This window comes from Homo sapiens, chromosome 6 (assembly GCF_000001405.40).
Source record: "Homo sapiens chromosome 6, GRCh38.p14 Primary Assembly".
Classification (NCBI taxonomy): domain Eukaryota; kingdom Metazoa; phylum Chordata; class Mammalia; order Primates; family Hominidae; genus Homo; species Homo sapiens.
In genome coordinates, this window is record NC_000006.12 from 147,398,112 (window position 1) to 147,421,961 (window position 23,850).

General features: G+C 39.8%; 1 long non-coding RNA gene and 1 pseudogene across 1 annotated transcript in view; one reads left to right on the plus strand and one right to left on the minus strand.

Moving 5' to 3' along the window:
* The window catches only part of LOC124901421 (uncharacterized), a 32,513-nt gene extending 9,414 nt beyond the window's left edge, over window positions 1-23,099 (minus strand). Inside the window, exons 1-2 of the long non-coding RNA XR_007059802.1 lie at window positions 22,943-23,099; window positions 12,587-12,667 (exon numbers count right to left, since the gene is read on the minus strand). This is a non-coding gene — a long non-coding RNA (uncharacterized LOC124901421). The remainder of the gene's footprint in view (window positions 1-12,586; window positions 12,668-22,942) is intronic.
* On the plus strand, window positions 8,715-10,370 carry YAP1P1 (YAP1 pseudogene 1; annotated as a pseudogene).
* Window positions 23,100-23,850: the final 751 nt, after the last annotated feature.

Consider the following 23,850-nt stretch of genomic DNA (forward strand, 5'->3'; position numbering starts at 1 on the left):
TTTAATTTCTCAGAGAGGAATATTTAAATTCAGCTTTAAGGTGAGAAACAACAATAGTAAAATCCAAAAGAGAATCGTTTTAGTCTTTTTTTCTCTCATTGTCTTTTTTTTCCTCGTTAGTCCATGAACTAGTATCACCAGGAAAGACCTGGGATCCTGGTTTGAAACTATGAAATAAAGAAAAGTAGAAACTGCAATAGAGTAAACTAATAAGAATTGGGTACTACGTGCTGGGTTAAAGATATATAATAAATAGCTCTACCTTGTCTTTAACAAGACAAAAATTTGCAAGATACTAAACGTATTCATGTTTGTTGGGTTGGGATGAGGGTGGGGCTCATAATACAAGGTAACTTTGGCTGAGTAGAAAAATTGTTCATAATCTTGAGTGTCTAAAAATCTAGTTAGCTTCCTAACAAAGTTATGCTTTGTCTGCACATGTAAGATTGAGCCCTTTATTTATTATCATAATTGGTACTAAACTAAAATCTTAAAATGTAGGTCAGGTATCATTACAACAGAAGGAAGAGGAGCAAAATCACTCTACAATCATGTAAGCATAGAATTCCAAGCTTCCAATTTGAAAAAAAAAAAAAAAGAAAATTTGATGTCAAAGAAGCCAGAGAGCAATGTGCCTAGGTTCACAGAGGCACGTAGTGGCAGTGGTAAGATTAGAATTGCTTAGAGTAAAATCCAAAATTCCCATGGCCTGCAAGACTCTACACACCTGGCCTCTACTTATCCCAGTATTCCCTCACTCCTCAACGATGCTGACCTCATTCCCTTGTCAGTAATTTTGCATTTGCTGTCCTCTTTCAACAGGAACTTTCCTGACTTTTCACGCTGCTGGCTCTTTTGCATCTTTCAGGTCTCAGTTTAAATGTCACCTCCTCAAAGAAGCCTTTTCTGATTTCTGTGTCTAAACTTAAATTCTAAAATAACCTGATCCCCACCCCCACCCATATCAGGCCATCTTCTATTAGAGAAACTTATTCAATTTCTTCAAACACTTATCATAATCACAATTATCTTTTTTATACCCCTGTTATTTTTTTAATCTGTCCGTTTCAATAGAACATAAGTCCCATGACAGCAGGTGTTTTGCCTACGTTGTGCTCTGCTGTGTTCCTAAACTCAGAAGATGGCCAGGCACACAGGTGATCATTAGTTATTGAATGAACTCAGATCTCCAGAGACTTGGTCTGGTTTAACAGGGTTGGGGAAAAGAGCATAAGACTTAGAAGCTTAGAGTTTTAGGCAAGTCACAAATGATATATGATCCTTAATTTTCTCATTTTTGGAATAGGAAACACAATGGGCTGTTTCCTATTCCTCATATAGGGCTGTTGAGAGAAAAAAGTAAACAATATATGTAAAAGTGCTTTATAAATAGAAGCCTATTCCTATGCAAATAAGTGACCCAGAGCAAACTGGCCTCTGTGTTTTGATTTCTTTATCTATAAAATTAAATGATTAGATTAATAACTCTAATGGGTCTTGTAGTTATAAATTTTTAATTCTCTCATTTGATTAAAAAAAAACCTTTAAAAGTCTCTGTATCAGTCCATTTTCACACTGTTATAAAGATACTACCTGAGGCTGGGCATGGCGGCTCATGCCTGTAATCCCAGCACTTTGGGCGGCTGAGGCAGGTGAATCACCTGAGGTCAGGAGTTCGAGACCAGCCTAGCCAACATGGCAAAACCCTGTCTCTGCTAAAAATACAAAAATTAGCTAGGCATGGTGGTGGACGCCTGTAATCCCAGCTACTCAGGAGGCTGAGGCAGGAGAATTGCTTGAACCCAGGAGGCGAAGGTTGCAGTGAGCTGGTATCTTGCCACCACACTCCAGCCTGGATGACAGAGAGAGACTCCATCTCAAAAAAATATATATATATACACTACCTGAGACTAGGTCATTTGTAAACAAAAGAGGTTTAATTGACTCACAGTTCTACATGGCTGGAGAGGCCTCAGGAAACTTAGAATCATGATGGAAGGCAAAGGATTAAGCAAGGCATGTCTTATATGGCAGCAGGAGGAGAGAGCAAGCGAAGAAGGAAGTGCCAATTTTAAGTCATCAGATCTCGTGAGAACTCACTATCATGAGAACAGCATGCGGGAAACTGCTGCATGATCCAATCACCTTATACCAGGTCTCTCCCTCAACACATGGGGATTACAGGTCAAGATGAGATTTGGGTGGGGACACAGAGCCAAACCATATCATCCCACCCCTGGCCCTTCCCAAATCTCATGTCCTTTTCACATTTTAAAACCAATCATATCTTCTCAACAGTCCTTCAAAGTCATAACTCATTCCAGCATTAACTCAAAGGTCCAAGTCCAAAGTCTTATCTGAGACAAGGCAAGTCCCTTCCACCTGTGAGTTTTTAAAATCAAAAGCAAGTTAGTTACTTTCAAGATACAATGGGGTACAGGCATTGGGTAAATGCTACCATTCCAAATGAAATAAATTGGCCAAAACAAAGGGGCCACAGTCTCCATGCAAGTCCAAACCCAGGCAGGGCATTCATTAAATCTTAAAGTTCCAAAATAATCTCCTTTGACTCCGTGTCTCACACCCAGGGCACACTGATGCAAGAGGTGGATTCCCGTGGTCTTGGGCAGCTCTGACCCTGCTGCTTTACAGGGCACATCCTCCTTTCTGGCTGCTTTCACAGGCTGGCACTGAGTACCTGCAGCTTTTCCAGGTGCACAGTGCAAGTTGTCTGTTGATCTACCATTCTAGGGTCTGGAGGATGGTGGCCCTCTAGCTCCACTAGGCAGTGCCCTAGTGGGAGCTCTGTGTTGGGGCGTTCTGCTGCCCCTGTAGCAGACATTTGCCTGGATACCCAGACATTCCCATACATCCTCTGAAATCTAGGCAGAGGTTCCCAAACCTCAATTCTTGACACTGTGCACCTGCAGGCTCAACACCACATGTAAGCTGCCAAGGCTTGGAGCTTGCATCCACTGAAGCAACAGCCTGAGCAGGGCACCAAGTTCCAAGACTGCACAAAGCAGTGAGGCCCTGGGCTCAGCCCAGGAAACCATTATTTCCTCCTAGGCCTCTGGGCCTGTGATGAGAGAGGCTGCTATGAAGATCTCTGACATGCCCTGGAGACAGTTTCCCCATTGTCTTGGTGACTAACATTTTGGCTCCTCATTACTGATGAAAATTTCTGGAGCTGGCTTGAATTTCTCCCCAGAAAATGGGTTTTACTTTTACATCATCAGGCTGAAATTTTTCAAACTTTTATGCTCTGCTTCCCTGTTATACATAAGTTCTGATTCCAAGTTATCTCTATGTGAATCCATAAAACTTATGCTTTTAAGATCACCCAGGTCACTTCTCAAAGGGTTTCCTGCTTAGAAACTTCTTCTGCCAGATACCCTAAATCATCTCTCTCAAGTTCAAAGTTCCATAGATCTCTAGCGCAGGGGCAAAATGCCACCAGTCTCTTTCCTAAAGCACAGCAAGAATCATCTTTGCTCCAGTTCCCAAGAAGTTCCTTATCTCCATCTGAGATCACCTCAGCCTGGACTTCATTGTCCATATCACTATCAGTATTTAGGTCCAAATCGTTCAACAAGTCTCTAGGAAGTTCCAAACTCCCACATCTTCCTGTCTTCTTCTGAGCCCTCAATACTGTGTCAACATCTGCCTTTTACCCAGTTCCAAAGTCACTTCCACATTTTGGGTATCCTTATCCAGTGCCCCACTACCGTGGTACCAATTTACTATATTAGTTACTTCTCACACTGAGACTGGTTAATTTATAAAGGGAAGAGGTTTAATTGACCCACAGTTTTGCATGTCTGGGGAGGCCTCATGAAGCTTAAAATTATGGCAGGAGGCCAAGGCGAAGCAAGGCACCTTCTTCACTAGGTGGCAGGAAGGAGAATGAATGCAGAGGAAACTACCAAACACTTATGAAACCATCAGATTTTGTGATAACTCACTACCGTAAGAACAGCATGGGGGAAATTGCCCCCATGATCCAATTACCTTCACCCGGTCTCTACCGTGACACATGGGGATTATGGGGACTACAGTTTAAGATGAGATTTTGGGTGGGGATGCTGCCAAACCATATTACCTCTTTTGTTTATAAATTACCCAATTTCAGGTAGTATCTTTGTAGCAGTGTGAGAATGGACTAATACAACTTCCCAGCCTCTGGTAAGCATCATTCTACTGTCTGTCTCCATGAGTTCAATTGTTTTAAAATTTACCCCCCATAAATTAGTAAAAACATGTGAAATTTGTCTTTCTGTCCTCAGCTTATTTCACTAACATAATGTTGTCCAGTTCCATCCATTTTGTCACATGTGACACAATCTCATTCTTTTTTATGGCTGAATAGCACTCCATTGTATATATATACCACATTTACTTTATCCATTCATCTGTTAATGGACATTTAGGTTGCTCCCAAATCTTGGTTATTGTGAATAGTACTGCAATAAATATGGAAGAGCAGATATCTCTTTGACATACCGATTTTCTTTCTTTTAGTTATTTATCTGGCAGTGGAATTGCTGGGTCATATGGTAGCTCTTTTTTAGTTTTGTTTTTTTTTTTTTTTTTTTTTTAGGAACTTTCATACTGTTCTCCATAGTGGCTTCAATAATTTACATTCCCAGCAACAGGGTATGAGGGTTCCCTTTTTTCTATATCCTTGCAGCATTTGTTATGGCCTGTCTTTAGGATAAAAGCCATTTTAACTGGGGTGTGATGATATCTTATTGTAGTTTTTACTTGTATTTATCTGATTATCAGTGATGTTGAGCATATTTTCATATACCTATTAGCTGTTTGTATGTCTTCTTTTGAGAAATGCCTATTCAGATATTTTGCCCATGCTTTAATCAGATTATTAGATATTTTTCCTAGAGAATTGTTTGAGCTCTTTATATATTCTGGTTATTAATCCCTTGTCAGTTGGGTGGTTTGCAAATATTTTCTCCCATTCTGTCTCTTCACTTTGTTGTTTGTTTCCTTTGCTGTGCAGAAGCTTTTTAACTTGATGAGATCCTATGTGTTCATTTTTGCTTTGGCTGCCTGTGCTTTTTGTGGGAAAAAAAACACAAAAACTAAAACAAAAACAAAAACTAAAGAGTTTCCTCGATGTTTAATTTTAGTTGTTTCATAGTATGTGGACACATATTTAAGTCTTCAATCCATTTTTATTTTTATATACAGCAAGAATTAGGGGTCTAGTTTCACTCTTCTGCATATGGATAGCCAGTTTTCCCAGCACCATTTATTGAAGGGACTGTTCTTTCCACCAATATATATATATATGTATATATTCCTGGCACCTTTGTTGAAAATGAGGTTAGTGTAGATGGATCATTTGTTTCTGGGTTCTCTATTCTGTTCCATTGTTCTATGGGTCTGCTTTCATGCCAGTACCTTGCTATTTTGGTGACTATATCTCTGTAGTATAATTTGAAGTCAGGTAATATGAGTCCTCCAGTTTCGTTCTTTTTGCTTAGAATAGCTTGTCTATTCTGGGTCTTCTGTGGTTCCATATAAATTTTAGGACTATATTTTTCTACTTCTGTGAAGAATATAATAGGTATTTTGATAGGGGTTGCATTGAATAGAGATTACTTTGGGTAGTATGGACATTTTAACATATTGATTCTTCAAATCCATGAACATGGAATACCCTTCCATTTTTGGTATCCTCATCAATTTCTTTCATCAGTGTTTTACAGTTTACATTGTAGAGCTCTTTCACTTCTTTGGTTAATTCCTAGGTATTTACTATTATTTGTTACAATTGTAAATGAGATTACTTTCTTGATTTCTTTTTCAAATTGCTTACTCTTGGCATGTGCAAATGCTACTAATTTTTGTACATTGATCTTGTATTCTGCAACTTTACTGAATTTATCAGTTATAATAGTGTTTTGGTGGAGTTTTTAGGTTTTTCCAAATATAAGATAATATCATCTGCAACCAAGGATAATTTGACTTCTTCCTTTCCAATTTGGATATTTTTTATTTCTTTCACTTGTCTGATTGCCATAGCTAGGACTTCCAGTACTATGTTGAATAACAATGGTGAAAGTGGGCATCCTTGTTTTTTTCCAAATCTTACAGACCCCATTCTGTTTGATACTAGCTGTGGGCCTGTCATATATGGCTTTTATTATATTGAGTTATGTTCCTTCTATCTTCAGTTTTTTTTAATCATGAAGGGATGTTGAATTTTATCAAATATTTTTTCAGCATCAATTAAAATGATCATATGGTTTTTATCCTTCATTATGATGATATGTGGTATCATGTTGATTGATTTACATATTTTGAACTATCCTTGCATACCAGAGGTAAATCTCACTTTGTCATGATGAATAATTTGTCTAACGTATTGTTGAATTGGGTTTCCTAGTATTTCGTTGAGAATTTTTACATCAATATTCATCAGAGATATTGGCCTGTAGTTTTGTTTATTTATTTATTTATTTTGGATGTGTCTTTGTCTGGTTATGGTATAAGCATAATACTAGCCTTGTAGAATGAGTTTGGAAGTATTGCCTCCTCCTCTATTTTTCAGAATACCTTAAATAGGATTGGTACTAGTACTTCTTTAAATGCTTGGTAAAATTCAGCAGTGAAGCCATTGGGTCCAGGGCTTTCTTTGATAGAAGTCTTTTTATTACGGCTTTGATCTTGTTGCTTGTTATTGGTATGTTCAGGTTTTCAATTTCTTCATGGTTCAATCTTTGTAGACTGTATGTATCTAGGAATTTATGTATGCTTTCTAGGTTTTCCAATTTATTAGCATATACTTGGTCATAGTAGACTCTAATGACCCTTTGAATTTCTGCATCATCCATTGTAATGTCTCTTTTTTTTCATCTCTAGTTTTATTTATTTGGGTCTCCTCTCTTTTTTTCTTTGTTAGTCTGGCTAAAGATTTGTCCATTTTTGTTTATCTTTTCAAAAAACGACTTTCTGTTTTGTTGATCTTTTGTATTTTTTTGTTTCAATTTCATTCATTTCTGATCTGATCTCTATTATTTCTTTATTTCTACTAACTTTAGGTTTTATTTGCTCTTGCTTTTCCAGTTCTTTAAGATGTATCATTAGGTTGTTTATTTGAAGTTTTTCTTCTTTTTTGATTTAGGCACTTAAAACTATAAACTACCCTCTCCATACTGCTTTTGCTGAATCCCATAGGTTTTGGTATGTTGTGTTTCCATTATCATTTATTTCATGAAATTTTTCAATTTTCTTCTTAATCTCTTTATTGACTCAGTAGTCATTCAGGAGCATATTGTTTAATTTCCATGTGTTTGTATAGTTTCCAAAATTCCTCTTGTTAATAATTTCTAGTTTTATTCCATTATGGTCAGAGAAGATGCCTGATATTATTTCCTTTTTTTCAATGTTTTAAGGCCTGTTTTGTGGCCTAATATACGATCTATCCTTGAGAATGATCCACGTGCTCAGGAGAATGTATATTCTGTAGCCATTGTATGAAATGCTCTGTAAATATCCATTAGATCCATTTGGTCTCTAGTGCAGATTAAGTCCGATGTTTCTTTATTGACAGTCTGTCTATATGATCTGTCCAATGCTAAAAGTGGGATGTTGAAGTTCCCAGCTATTATTGTGTTAAGGTCCATCTCTCTCTTTAGCTCTAATAATATTTGCTTTATTTATGTGGGTGCTCCACTGTTGAGTGGATATATGTTTACAATTGTTAAATCTGCTTGCTTAAAAAAAGCCCTTTTTCAACAAAAAAATATATCAATAGAACCAGATTATAATGGGATCCACATGTGAAAACTATCAGACAAGGAATTTAAAATACTATTATTGATATTGTAAAGGCTTTAGGGAAAAAAAACAGAAGGTATGCATGAACAAATAGGGAATTTCAACTAATTGTCGGTAATTATGTGAATAAAAATGAACTAAACACTGCATTCAAAAGGCAGAGATCAGGAAAATAGATTTAAAAAATAAATATAGGCCGGACGTGGTGGTTCATGCCTGTAATCCCAGCAATTTGGGAGGGCAAGGTGGGCAGATCACTTGAGGCCAGGAGTTCAAGACCAGCCTGGGAAACATGGTGAAACCCTGTCTGTACTAAAAAATACAAAAAAATTAGCCGGGCATGCTGGCACGTGCCTGTGGCCACAGCTACTCAGGAGGCTGAGGCAGGAGAAGCGCTTGAACCCAGAGGTGGAAGTTGCAGTGAGCCGAGATTGCACCACTGCACTCCAGCCTGGGTGACAGGCAACAGAGGGAGACCCTGTCTCAAAAATAAATAAATAAATAAATAAATAAATAAATAAATAAATAAATATTGGGTCTCACTGAACTCGCCTGCAGCTCTTGGGGTTTCTGTGTCTTTCTTCATAGTGGGAGCCAGGCCTAGACACCAGGAACCATGTCGAAGGGACCTGCAGCTGGTATTGATCTTGGCACCACCTACTTTTGTGTGGGTGTTTTCCAGCACGGAAAAGTGGGGGTAATTGCCAATGATCAGGAAACCAAACCACTCCAAGCTATGTCGCCTTTACAGACACTGAACGACTGATTGGTGATGCCACAAAGAATCAACTTGCAATGAACCCCACCGACACGATTTTTGATGCCAAACGTCTGATTAGACAGATTTGATGATGCTGTTGTCCAGTCTGACAGAAAGCATTGGCCCTTACTGGTGGTGAATGATGCTGGCTGGGCATCCAGGTGGAGCCCTCGCTCGCCTGGTCAGGGAGTGCGTGTCAGGGGTGGGAGAAGCCATGGATCCCGGGCAGCAGCAACTGCCTCAACCGGCCCCCCAGGGCCAAGGGCAGCCACCGGCGCAGCGCCCCCCAGGGGCAGGGCCCGCGGTCCAGACCAGGGCACCCGGCGCCCACGGCGACCCAGGCGGCGCCACAGGCAACCCCCACCGGGCGTCAGATCCTGCACGCCCGCGGGGACTGGGAGAGGAACCTGGAGGCGCTCTTCAACGCCTTCATGAACCCCAAGATGGCCAACGTGCACCAGACCATGCCCATGAGGCTCCGGAAGCTGCCCGACTCTTTCAAGCCGCCCGAGCCCAAGTCCAACTCCCAACGGGTCAGTACTGAGGCAGGCACCGCAGGAGCCCTGACTCCACAGCACGTTCGAGCTCATTCCTCTCCAGCTTCTCTGCAGTTGGGAGCTGTTTCTCCTGGGACACTGACCCCCACTGGAGTAGTTTCTGGCCCAGCAGCTACACCCACAGCTCAGCATTTTCAACAGTCTTCTTTTGAGATACCTGATGATGTACCTCTACCAGCAGCTCGGGAGATGGCGAAGACATCTTCTGGTCAGAGATACTTCTTAAATCACATCGATCAGAAAACAACACAGCAGGACCCCCAGGAAGACCATGCTGTCTCAGATGAATGTTATAGCCAATCCACCAGTGCAGCAGAATATGATGAACTCGGCCTCAGGTCGTCTTCCTGATGGATGGGAACAAGCCATGACTCAGGATGGATAAATTTACTGTATAAACCATAAGAACAAGACCGCCTCTTGGCTAGACCCAAGGCTTGACACTCGTTTTGCCAGGAACCTGAGAATCAGAGTGCTCCAGTGAAACAGCCACCACCCCTGGTTCCCCAGAGCCCACAAGGAGGCGTCATGGTGGCAGCAACTCCAACCAGCAGCGACAGATGCGACCACAGCAACTGCAGATGGAGGAGAGGCTGCAGCTGAAACAGCAATAACTGCTTCAGCAGGAGTTAGCACTGCGTAGCCAGTTACCAACACTGGAGCAGGACGGTGGGACTCAAAATCCAGTGTCTTCTCCCAGGATGTCTCAGGAATTGAGAACAAGGACAGCCAATAGCTCAGATCCTTTCCTTAACCGTGGCACCTATCACTCTCGAGATGAGAGTACAGACAGTGGACTAAGCATGGGCAGCTAGTGACCCTTGCACCGCAGATGACTTCCTGAACAACGTGGATGAGATGGATACAGGTGATACTATCAACCAAAGCACCTTGCCCTCACAGCAGGACCATTTCCCAGACTACCTGGAAGCCATTCCTGGGACAAAAGTGGACCTTGGAACACTGGAAGGAGATGGAATGAACACAGAAGGAGAGGAGATGATGCCAAGTCTGCAGGAAACTCTGAGTTCTGATGTCCTTAATGACGTGGTTTTGTCGGAACCTAGGCAAATGACCATATTAGTGAATCTGTTCATAGTTGTAGCTTGTGGTGGTTATTGTAGTTGTTTTGGTAAAATCTTCATTTCCTGGTTTTTTACCACCTTATTTAAATCTTGATTATCTGCTCTCTCTTTTATATACATATACACACACACAAATATAACATTTATAAGAGTGTGGTAGCAGAATGTATCCTTTTGTTAGGTTTCCCTGCTTTCCAGTTAATTTTTAAAATGGTAGCGCTTTGTATACATTTAGAATACGTGGCGAGTAGTTTATATTTCACTGGTAGTTTAAATCTGGTTGGGGCAGTCCGCAGATATTTGAAGTAGTTTAGTGTTCTAGAAAGAGCTATTACTATGGATAGTGTCTAGGGGAGTGCTCCACGCCCTCTGGGCATATGATAGGTATTATCTGATGAATTGGAAAGGAGCAAACCAGAAATGGCTTTATTTTCTCCCTTGGACTCCCTTGGACTAATTTTTATGTCTTGGTTGGAAATCACTGAGTAGGTTCATAATGTCCATGACAGAAATAAGCTTTATAGTGGTTTACCTTCATTTAGCTTTGGAAGTTTACCTTTGCCTTAGTTTTGAAAGTAAGTTCTAGTTTGTAGTTCTCATTTGTAATGAACACATTAAAGACTAGATTAAAATATTGCCTTCAAGATTGTTCTTACTTATAAGACTTGCTCCTACTTCTGTGGTGAAAATTGACCCTGGATAGAATATTATAAGGTCATGAGTTAGCTGGAAAAGTGATCAGATTAATAAATGTATATTGATAGTTGAATTTAGCAAGGAAATACAGATAATCATGATTATACCTTTATTTTTACAGGAAGAGATTATGTAACTAGAGTATGTGTCTACAGGAATGATAACAGTTTCCAAAGAGTTTTTTGTTTTTTGTTTTTGTTTTTGTTTTTGTTTTTGTTTTTGAGATGGAGTCTCGCTCTGTCGTCAGGCTGGAGTGCAGTGGCGCAATCTCGGCTCACCGCAACCTCTGCCCACTGCAACCTCTGCCTCCTGGGTTCAAGTGCTTCTTGTGCCTCAGCCTCCCGAGTAGCTGGGATTACAGGCACATGCCACCACACCCAGCTAATTTTTGTATTTTTAGTAGAGACAGGGCTTCACCATGTTAGTCAGGATGGTCTGGATCTCCTGACCTCGTGATCCACCTGCCTCGGCCTCCCAAAGTGCTGGAATTACAGGCGTGAGCCACCGCACCCGGCCCCAAAGAATATTTTTTAAAGGAACAAAATGAGCATGAATTAACTCTTCAATATAAGCTATGAAGTAAAAGTTGGTTGTGAATTAAATTGGCACCGGCTAGCACCTCTATGTTTTAACGGTCTTCCAATATTTCTAGAATAAGCCCTTATTTTCAAGGGTTTATAACAGACATAAAATCTCTTCTCCTGGCAAAAGCTGCTATGAAAAGCCTCAGCTTGGGAAGATAGATTTTTTTCCCCCAGTTACAAAATCTAAGTATTTTGGCCCTTCATTTTGCAGGAGTGCAAAAGTTGGAAGTAAGAAATTTTATTTTAAGTACTTCCAGTGCTCAAAAAAATGCAGTCACTGTGTTGTATATAATAGTTCATAGGCCAATCACTCATAATAATTGACTCTAAGGCTTTTATTAAGAAAACAGCAGAAAGATTAAATCTTGAATTAAGTCTGGGAGGAAATGGCCACTGTGCAGATGGAGTTTTAGAGTAATAATGAAATTCTACCTAGAATGCAAAATTGGGTATATGAATTATACAGCATGTGGTTGGGATTTTTTTTTAATGTGCAGAAGATCAAAGCTTCTTGGAAGGAGTGCCTATAATTTGCCAGTAGCCACAAATTAAGATTATATCTTATATATCAGCAGAGTAACTTTAGCTTAAGGGGAGGGTGGGAAGGTTTGGGGGGTTGTGAAGATTTAGGGGGGCCATGATAAAGAACCTTATAAACTTCTTTCTCTTTAATAAAGACTTGTCTTACATCTTGCTGTCATTAAAGGCAGCTGTTCCTAGAATTTAAATCACTTAAGTACACCCACAAAACAAGAATATGGAGATCTTCATTTCTCCTCGACTTTAATTTGCCCAGTTATACCTCAGTGTTGTAGCAGTACTTTGATATTACGATACTTTCTGTACTGACCTGAAGGAGACCTAACAGTCCTTTCTCTTTTTGAGTTTGAATCACAGCCTTGATGTGGTATCTGGTTTTATGTCCTTGTTCCTGATGTAAAAGTGATTAACTGCTTCTTGGTTGTGTTGGGTAGCATTGGGATAAGATTTTAACTGGGTATTCTTGAATTGTTTTTATAATAAACCAATTTTATAATCTTTAAATTTATCAGCTTTTTACATTTGTGTTCTTTTCACTCAGGGCTTCTTAGATCTACTTACCGTTCATGGAGCACATTGATTTGGAGATTCAGATCTTCTAAAGCACTATTTGTTGTAATAACTGTTTTCTAAATATAATGCCTTTAAAGGAAAAATGAACACAGGGAAGTGACTTTGCTACAAATAATGTTGCTGTTTTAAGTATTCATATTAAATAGATGCCTTCTATATGGAACATGGCAGAAAGACTGAAAAATAACAGTAATTAATTGTGTAATTCAGAATTCATACCAATCGGTGTTGAAACTCAAACATTGCAAAAATGGGTGGCAATATTCAGTGCTTAACACTTTTATAGCATTGGTACATGTGAAAAATGAGTGTTCAGGTGGATTTTATCCTTGCAAGCATGTTTTTATAAGAATTGTGATTGTGCCTATCATAACAGTTGTTTTCTGTATCTTGAAAAAGTATTCTCCACATTTTAAATGTTTTTATATTAGAGAATTATTTAATGCACACTTGTCAAATATATATATATATATATGTAGTACTAATGTTACTTTTTATCTTTTGTTTTAGATGTAAGAGCATGCTCATATGTTAGGTACTTACATAAATTGTTACATTATTTTTTCTTATGTAATACCTTTTTGTTTGTTTATGTGGTTCAAATATATTCTTTCCTTAAACTCTTTAAAAAAAAAAAAAGAAGTGATTGCTAATGGGTTCAAGGTTTCCTTTTGGGCTGATGAAAATATTTTAAAATTAGACAGTGGTAATGATTTAAGAATCTGTAAATATAACTAAAAATTACTGAAAAGAATAAAATTTATATAATGTGAAATATTTACCAAAAAAAATCAAGGAAAATTCTTGAACCACAAAAGACCCCCAAATAGTCAAAGCAACCTTGAACAAAAAGAACAAAGCTGGGGGAATCAGACTATCTGACTTCAAAATATACTACAGAGCTATAGTAACAAAAACAGCATGGTACTAGCATAAAAACAGACATATAGACTAATGGAACAGAACAGAGAGCCCAGAAATAAATTCACACATTTAGTTAATTTATCTTTGTCAAAGATGTCACATATGCACAATAGAGAAAGGACAGACTCTTCAATAAATGGTTTTGGAAAAACTAAATATCCACATGCAGAAGAATGAAATTAAACCATTATTTTACATCATATACAAAAATAAACCCAAAATGGGTTAAACGCCTAAACATAAACCCGAAACTATAAAACTGATAGAAGAAAACATATGAAAAATGCTTCTTGACATTTGTCTGGGCAATGACTTTTGGATATGGCACCAAAAGCACAGGCAACAAAAGCAAAAATAGACAAATAAGACTGTATCAAACTGAAAAGCTTCAGCAAAGGAAACAATCAATGAACTGAAAAGGCAATCTACATAAAGGAGAAAATATCTGCAAACCATGTATAAGTGGCTAATATCCCAAAGTACATACAACTGAGTAGCAAAAAAACAAAAACCTGATGTAAAAATTGGCAAAGGACATGAATAGACATTTCTCAAAAGAAAACATACCAATAGCCAAGTTATATAAAAATGTTCAACATTACTAATCATCACGGAAATGCACAAGGAAATCACAATGAACTATCACCTCATACCTGTTAGACTGGCTATTACTAGAAAGACAAAGACAAGTGTTGGAGAAGATGTAGAGAAAAGAGAACTCTCATACACTGTTGGTGGGAGTGTAAATTGGTATAGCCATTACAGAAAACAGTATGGAGGTTCCTCAAAAAATTGAAAATAGAACTACCATATGATCCAGCAATTCCACTTCCACTTCTGGGTATACATCCAAAGAAAAGGAAATCACCATCTCAAAGAGATATCTGCACTACCATGTTCATTGCAACATAATTCACAATAGCCAAGACATGGTATCAACTTAAGTATCTATCAATAAATAGATGGGTAAAGAAAAGGGAACATATATAGAGAGATATATAGATAAGCACATATATATAGGTGTGTATATGTGTGTATGTATATACACACACATATAATGGAATATTATTCATCCTTAAAAGGAAATCATACCATTTGTGACAACATAGATGAACCTGGAGGACATTATGCTAAATAAGCCAGGCACAGAATGAAAATACTGCATGATGTCACTTATATGTAGAATCTAAAAAGCTGAACTCATAGAAGCAGAGTGTAGGGTGATTGCCAGGGACTGAGGTGGGGAAAATGGGGTGATGTAGGTCAAAGGGTACAAAGCTTTAGTTATGCCCAATGAACATGTTCTGGAGATCTGATATACAGCATGATGGTTATAGTTAATAATACTGTATTATGTACTTGAAATCTGCTAAGAGAATAGACCTTAAATGTTCTCACTACACACTCATAACTATGTGACAGGATGGATATATTAATTAACTTAATTATGATAATCATTTTGCAATATCTACATGTATATCAAAACATCACATTGTATACCTTAAGTTTATAGAATTTTTATTTGTCAATTATACCTCAGTATGGCTGAAAAAATATATACTAGAAATAAAACACAGTAACACAGATGCAGACTACCTTCAATGGGCTCATTAGGAGACTCAGCACAGCTGAGGAAAACAATCAATGAACTTGAATATAGGTAAATAGAAATCACCCAAACTGAAAAACAAAGAAAAAGTAGAAAAAGTTATTTCAAAACTGCAGAGAGAAAATAAAGAATTTTTTAGACTAACAAAAACTGAAAGTCATTTTCTGTAGAATTGCACTAAATGAAATGTTAAAGTTATGCAGAAGAAATATATTATCTGACATAAACTTGTGCCTACACAAAAATTAAAGAGCACTGAAAGCACGGTGCTAAAGCTAAAGCTAAAGCTCATGCCTGTAATCCCAGCATTTTGGGAGGCCGAGGTGGGTGGATCACCTGAGGTCAGGAGTTCAAGACCAGCCTGGCTAACGTGGCAAAACCCCATCTCTACTAAAAATACAAAAATTAGCCAGGTGTGGTGGCTAATGCCTGTAGTCCCAGCTACTCGGGAGGCTGAGGCTGGAGAATTACTTGAACCCAGGAGGTGGAAGTTGCAGTGAGCCGAGATCGTGCCATTGCACGCCAGCCTGGGCATCAGAGCAAGACTCCATCTCAAAAAAAAAAAAAAAGGAAATATAAAATTTGGTTTTTTTACGTATTTTTAATTGCTCTAAGAGATAATTGTGTGCTCTGGTGCTGGGTAAAATGGAGTATGCCTGCTCCACCTTGTCTTTCCAGCTAAATGCAAATATAAGAGCTGGACAGAAGGCAAGGAATGTTCGACAATGCAGGTGTGTTCAGTATGGAAATTATCAAGTTGGAACAACTATATAAGAACTCTGAGAAGGTAATAAGATCAGTCAGGTCATGGGAGAAGCATAGAATTTAAGCTGCTATCAATCTGGCACCATTTTTCCCTGATCTGAATACAAAAATCTAGCATGAAACCTGGAAATGGACACTTAGATAAAGAAAGAAATCTAGGAGTGGCCCTCTAATACTAGCACACAGAGTAGAAAAAAGAAACTCGTAATGCCCAGAGAATGCAGATACCAATAAGCTTTTATTCTGCCATATGATCTCTTATACCACAGCCTTGAAGCAATCCTTTGGGGACAGTGGCAGAAGCCACCACAGAAGATGGTTTGAACCAAATCTCTAAGTGAGGAAATTTTCCCCTCCAATCAGAGAACTCCAGTGGCTTTTTTTCCCCTGTGTCTCTGTCCTTTCACCACTTGACCCCAGATGTGGATGCAATTGCAAAAGTTTCTGAGAGTGTAGGTTAAATAAAGCCCCAGCTTTCTGGCTGTAGGACCAAATAGAGGAGCCCTAGAAAATAAAAAAGTACCAGACATGGAGAAGCTCAGCAAAGCAATCCTAGAAATTTGCTTATAAACACGTGGGCTCACCCCTAAGTAGTACATACATGAATCTGATCATAATCGGTATACAGAAAACTTCAAAAGTGGAGTTAACCTGGGGTCCCAGAGAGAACAATGATTGGTGTACACACAGAATACATGGAAATAATCTCAAAGTCTAGCTGACATTGGAATTGGAGGTCATAGAAGGTGGGTTAGAACTTGCAGCCTGAACTCGGACCTGGTCAATTGCCTCCTAAAACAAAAATATCCACATATTCATAATAATTTTAAAAGGCCCCCACATCTCATAATATTTAAAATGCCTAAAATACAAACCAAAATTACATGCCATTTAAAGATCTGGGAAAATATCAAAAGGAAAATCAACATGTACCAATATTAAGGTAACAAAGATTTAGAATTATCTAATAAAGACTTGAAAGCAGCCAGATGTGGTAGCTTACACCTGTAATCCCAGCACTTTGGGAGGCCAAGGCAGGAGGATCACTTGAGCCCAGGAGTTTGAGGCCTGGGCAACATGACAAGACCCCATCTCTACAAAAAATTTAAAAATTAGCTGAGCGTGGTGGTGCAGATCTGTGATCCCAGCTGCTCAGGAGGCTGAGGTGGGAGGATCACTTGAGCCCAGGAGTTCAAGGCTGCAGTGTCCTGTGATTGCACCACTGTACTACAGCCTGGACAACAGAGTGAGACCCATCTCTTAAAAAAAAAAAGGACTTGAAAGCAATTATTTATTATTATTATTACAGATACTCCAACAAACAATCATGAACACAATTAAAATCAATAGAAAGCTAAAAACAACAAAAAATATTATATAAAGAATTACAAAATGACAATTTAATGACAATAAAATTTAAATTTTAAAATGACATACAAAATATGACAGCAGAAAACTCATTGAATAGAACAAATAGAAGAACACAAGAAGAAAACTGGAGTGCAGCTATTAATATCGGACAAAACAACTTTCAGAGCAAAGAAAATCCCAACAAGGATCGAGAGAGACATTTCAGAATCATAAAAAGTTCAATGCTGCAAGAAGACATTATAATCCCAAATGGGTATACACCTAACAATAGAGCTTCACAGTACAAAAAGAAAAACTGACAAAACTTGAAGGAGCAATGGACAAATCTACAATTATCATTGCATATTTAGACACTCTTATTTCAGTAACAAATAGAACTACCGGAAAAATCAGCAATAATATAGAAAAACTGAACACCATCATCAAAAACCTGGACATAATCGACACTTACAGAACACTTCACTCCATAGCAGCAAAGTGCACATTCTTCTCAAGAGCACAAGAACATTCACCAAGATAGACCCCATCCTTGACTTTAAAATGAACCTTAACACATTTAAAAGAACTGAACTCACACAGAGTGTGCTCTCAGATCCTAATATAACTAGACTAGAAACCAATAACAGGAAGACAACAGAAAATTCCAAACCTTTGGAAAGGAAACAGCACACTTCTAAATTATCCACGATCCAAAGAGGAAACTTCTAGGAAAATTAGCAAATATTTTTAGCTGAACATAAATGAAAATATAACATACCAAAATTTGTGGGATGTCATTAAGGTAGTATCCAGAGGAACACTTCGCCATGTACTTAATGTGGTCAGCGTCATTCTGATTCTAAAGTGAGACAATGACATTCAAAGAAAAGAAAACTATAGACTAATACCTCTCGTGAACATAGATGCAAAGTTAGGAGAGTAAGAGAAAACAAGCTGGTGTCCCCACAGTCCCCTGAAGGGATAGGACCCCACCAAAGAAGAAGGAATTTCTCTGAGCAATCTGCTGTTGCCACTTATAGAAGCAAAAGAACCGAACCAGATCTCCATGCTTTCCTATACATTATTTCCCTTTATCTCAATCAGAGCAATTTCCAAGGGGACCACAGAAGATTGACACTAAACCCAAAAACCAGAGAAGATGGATGGATATGGAGTAGACTATGTTTAAGAACTGCAGGCATATTTAGTATGGAAATCGCTAACTTGAGGGGCAGTGAGTGAACTGACTATACGTTTGATCACTACAGGCCAAAGAGTTCATCAATTTCTGCACAGCTTTAATCAAGGACAGTTCCAAAGGCTTTGGAATTACGCCATGACGGTTAATACTTACGCACCACTTACTTGGGTCAAGCCCCATAATGGCACTTTAAATATACAATTTCACTTAATTGTTCACAATAACTCTACAAGGCTGAGTAATGTTACTATTCCCATTTCACAGATAAGAAAACTGAGGCTCAGAATATTTAAGTAGGAAAATCTTTTGACTCTAAAACCTCCACAGGCTCAACCCTCATAGCTCCTAACACTGTTCTCCACTCACCTCATACCACCCTAAAGAACTAAAGTATATCTTTTACAAGTTTTTTTAATGAGGTGAAATTCTGACTGTCCTTACAGTCCTGCTCTTATAAAATCGCTTAGAGCTATTGTCTAGGCCAAAGAGTAAAATGGAACTTTGTTTTTGCGGTTCTTCTATCAGAAGTGTGCACATGTCTATTCATTGACAGCAAACAAAGCCCCAAGTACTTTGCATGAGGATTAAAATTTCTTTTGAATAAGAATTTTGATCAGTAAAATAATATTTCAAGCATTATGATGTCATTGGTGTCACATACACTGGTGTTTTAAAAGAACTTATAGCTTAAAAGCAAAGCAGAAAAAGCAAATTTTTTAAAATGCACAAAAATTGTTCACTGAAACTTGCCTCTAATTATTATGTGGGGACTTTGAGACCTCTGTAAAATCCACTCTTCCTCTCCCCAGTAATTTTTGAGGCACTCAGTGGTAACTCAAAAACAAGTCACACAACCTCCTTAAAGCACCCATCATGTTTTTCTTTCCAACTTAGATCAACTTGGTGGCAAATGCAAGTGTCCAATATATGCCCCCTAGGCCTCTTCCTAAGGCTAGAGCTAGGCAGGGACCTCTGAGGTCTCCGGGAAGCTGGTGCCACCCTGGGATCTGGGCAGAGTTTGCGGCTGCTTCTCTTGCTGCCTGTTTCTCAACATGCTGAGATGGCAGCCAAGTACTGCCTGTGCCCCAAAGCCTCACAGAATATTTGGTACCAGTGGCTCCCTTCCTTTCTATTTGTAGCCCTAAAGTGCAGGTTCAGGCACACATCTTAGGGCTTGGATGAGGTCATTCTTTGAATTAGACATCTCATTAGCCTTTCTCACCTTCTCCTATTAGCACATACTTGCCTTCCTTCACTGAAACCTTACTGTTTTTCTTTCCTGTTATCCACCTCCCCCGGGGTTTCATAAGCCACCCTTTAACATGAGACCTGGGCTTCATTTGGAAGCTATCACTGCATAAGTGCAAAAGTTCTGATGTTTTCACTGGGCTCTGAAACCCAGAGTGGAGAGGGGGATCCTAGTTGCCTCTACTGTGTGCAAGTGATAGGCTGTTTGTGTAGGACAGCTATCTTCTCAGAGGGTCTTCTATTAAAAGCACATGATTAGAGCATGCACCATCCCACCAAGAATTCCCTAGGAACACTCTCTTCCCTCCAGGTGGCTACTGCCATTGCACGTCCCGTTCATCCTCTAGGGTGCAGAGCCTGTGAGCCATGGCGCTTTTTAGATCTGCTCTACTTTAGGCTTTATGACTGTAGGATGGAAGTAGAGGTTCAACAAGGTTTGCACTCCCCTTTTGAACTCCAAAACTATGACGACAGACTATCACGGGGTTCTGATAGGTAAAATGCAACAGCAACAACGATCAAGATAATTTCTCGTTTTTTAGAAGACAAACTAGAAGCCATGCTGTAATCCTCATATTCAGAGCAATTATGAATATATTTACTTAAGATTATCCAACATCATAATCCAATTCATTTCAGCAGCTCCACGGGAGCCCACCTGAAGGCCGCTTGCCTTGCAGTCATCTGACTGCCAAGCCCTGTATCTTCAGGCCTGTTATGAAGTTTTGCTCTCAGCTCGCTCCTAATTCTCCCCCCGTACAGAGGTCACTCTGACTTGGAACTCAAGTGTGTATCCTGATCAGACCTCCCTTTCTTGCATGGGTTACTCCAGCCTTAATATTTTGCATAGACCCCGTTTCAATTTCACTTTCCCAAATGAATTGCCATGGTTTGAAATATATGTGTATGTTTAGCTTCCTCTGCACAATTGCCTCTTCAATGCCTCTTCCTTCATGCTTCCCTGGGCCTATTACTCATCCTCCTACCTCTGTTCTGGCAGCCGCCCTCATAGCTCCACTTGCTCCACCTTCACCCCTTTCAAACTCATTTGAGAATATCCCATTACCTTTTTTTCTAGTTATTCCTTCTGTCCCACTTGCTCTTTATTTCCATCCTGTTTTTAACAAATGTATCTTTAGACTTTCGTGTTCAAAACAGAAGAGGCAAGCAAACTCACCTTCATTATGTGCCACGGGCTTTCCAAATTTCTCATTTAGTATTCTTAACTATTTTATAAGAGAGAAATGAGGCTTGAGGCTTGAGGTTTATGAAAAGAGGTTTAACATGCCCAGGGTTGCATAGCTGGTAAGGGGTGGGATTTAGATTTAATCAGATGTATATGATTCCCAAACTCCTGTTGTCTTTTCATCACACAACACTGCCTTCAAAACATTATTTATACTAACGAAATTGAATTTTAACCAAAAGTAGCCAGAGACATTGATATGTTTGAGTTCTATTTGTAGTCCAGTGCAGTATTTCAAACTGCACAAAGGTGGTCCCTTAGCAAACAATTTTTTAAAATCCAGGGTCTTAGGAGTGGAAAGGACCTGAGAGACCATTCCATGTCATAGTTGAGGAACTTAGGAACCCTGGGAGATTGCATAGCTTGCACTGCTGAGCTCCAAAAAGTCAGGTGCCCTTAAAAAGTGTATCACAGCTTTTACCATCTCATGCCAGTTAGAATGGCGATCATTAAAAAGTCAGGAAAAAAACAGATGCTGGCGAGGCTGTGGAGAAATAGGAATGCCTTTACATTCCTGTTGGTGGGAGTGTAAATTAGTTCAACCGTTGTGGAAGACATTGTGGCGATTCCTCAAGGATCTAAAACCAGAAATACCATTTGACCCAGCAATGCCGTTACTGGGTATATACCCAAAGGATCATAAATCATCCTACTATAAAGTCACATGCACACGTATGTTTATTGCAGCACTATTTACAATAGCAAAGACTTGGAACCAACCCAAATGCTCATCAATGATAGACTGGATAAAGAAAATGCGGCACATATATGCCATGGAATACTATGCAGCCATAAAAATTCATGTCATTTGCAGATACATGGATGAAGCTGGAAACCATCATCCTCAGCAAACTAACACAGGAACAGAAAACCAAACACCACATGTTCTCACTCATAATTGGGAGCCGAACAATGAGAACACATGGACACAGGGAGAGGAACATCACACCTCAGGGCCTGTCGGGGGTTGCGGGGGTAAGGGAAGGGACAGCATTAGGAGAAATACCTAAGGCATGCAGGGCTTAAAACCTAGATGACAGGCCAGGCACAGTGGCTCATGCCTGTAATCCCAGCACTCTGGGAGGCCAAGGTGGGAGGATCACCTGAGGTTGGGAATTCAAGATCAACATGACCAACCCCTCCTCTACTAAAAATACAAAATTAGCTGGGTGTGGTGGCACATGCCTGTAATCCCAGCTACTTGGGAGGCTGAGGCAGGAGAATCACTTGAACCCGGGAGGTAGAGGTTGCAGTGAGCCAAGATTGTGCCATTGCACTCCAGCCTGGGCAACAAGAGTGATACTCTGTCTTAAAAAAAAAACCTAGATGACGGGTTGATGGGTGCAGCAAACCACCATGGCACATGTATACCTATGTAACAAAACTGCACATTCTGCACATGTATCCCAGAACTTAAAGTAAATAAATAAAATAATTTTTTTAAAAAAAGTGTATCACGGCTTTGTGAGTCCAGGGAGGTGTCTCCTCTGGCTGGAGAGAATCTCACTCAGTGCTCCCACATCTTGAGCTAAAGCCCCTGGAGGGAGCTGAACCAACGGTCTGTTTTCCAAGACACCCTCGGGTCTCTTCCATCACCCTAGCCATCCCTTTTCACTCTGTCACTGCATGATGACAGAGCCAGGTCTCCATCACCACCACAATTCCATTCCCACACTTATTCTCCCATTCCTTTTATAGGTACCCCCAGTCCATGCACACATGCCTTGAGAATTCCTCTGTGCCTCCTAAAAGCACCATCATTAGCATATTTCCCTACTCCTTAAATGGTTCACTTCCTTGACTTAGCTGCTCTAACTATGCCCTGATGACACTTCTTGCTGCAACCCTCAAAGTAGAAGCTACTTTTGTTTCTCATATCCCAACTCCCAAAGGGCCTAGAAAAAGAGTAGGCATTCTGCTTAACTCTGCCTATTTTCTTGATAAAAATAACAATTGGGTGGGAACTCCCTCATCTTCTCAACATACAATGTGCCAGCTCACCTGCATTGGACTGGTCTCTTCTGCCATGCTTCTGTCTCAGCAAGAGTGTTCCGGCTCTGATGGGGACACCTTCCCTGCTTCTGCCTGGGATTCTGTCTTTTGTGCCTCCTCAAGGACTTTGCCTCCAATCTTTCCCTCTCCTTCTATATCATGACAAGCTGCTCCCCTGTCATCAGCACACAAATAGACTCTAATGTCCCCTATATTTAAACAGATACTCCCTTGACCCCGGGCCAAATCTCCACAGTTTCACAATTTCATAGCAAAATGACTTGCGTTATCTGTTCTCACTGTCTCCATAATTTATTTCTCTTAACTCTCACATATCTCACTTTCATTCTCTTAAAACTGCCTGAGTCAAGGCTGAGACAGGAGAATGGCGTGAACCCGGGAGGCAGAGGTTGCAGTGAGCCGAGATTGTGCCACTGCACTCCAGCCTGGGCGACAGAGCTAGACTCCATCTCAAAAAACAAAAAACAAAACAAACAAAAAAAGACTGCTGAGTCGGCCAGGCGCGGTGGCTCACGCCTGTAATCCCAGCACTTTGGGAGGCCAAAGCGGGCAGATCATGAGGTCAGGAGATGGAGACCATCCTGGATAGCAGGGTGAAACCCCGTCTCTACTAAAAATACAAAAAATTAGCCGGGTGTGGTGGTGGGCACCTGTACTCCCAGTTACTCAGAGGCTGAGGCAGGAGAATGGCGTGAACCCGGGAGGCGGAGCTTGCAGTGAGCCGAGATGGCTCCAGCCTGGGCGACAGAGGGAGACTCCCTCTCAAAAAAAAAAACAAAAACAAAAACAAAAAACTGCCTGAGTCAAGGTTACTGATGACTTCCAGGTTGTCAAATCCAATGAGGTCTTCCCTGCTCTCAGCAGCCTTCAAGGTACTTTGTTCTCTTGGCTTCTAA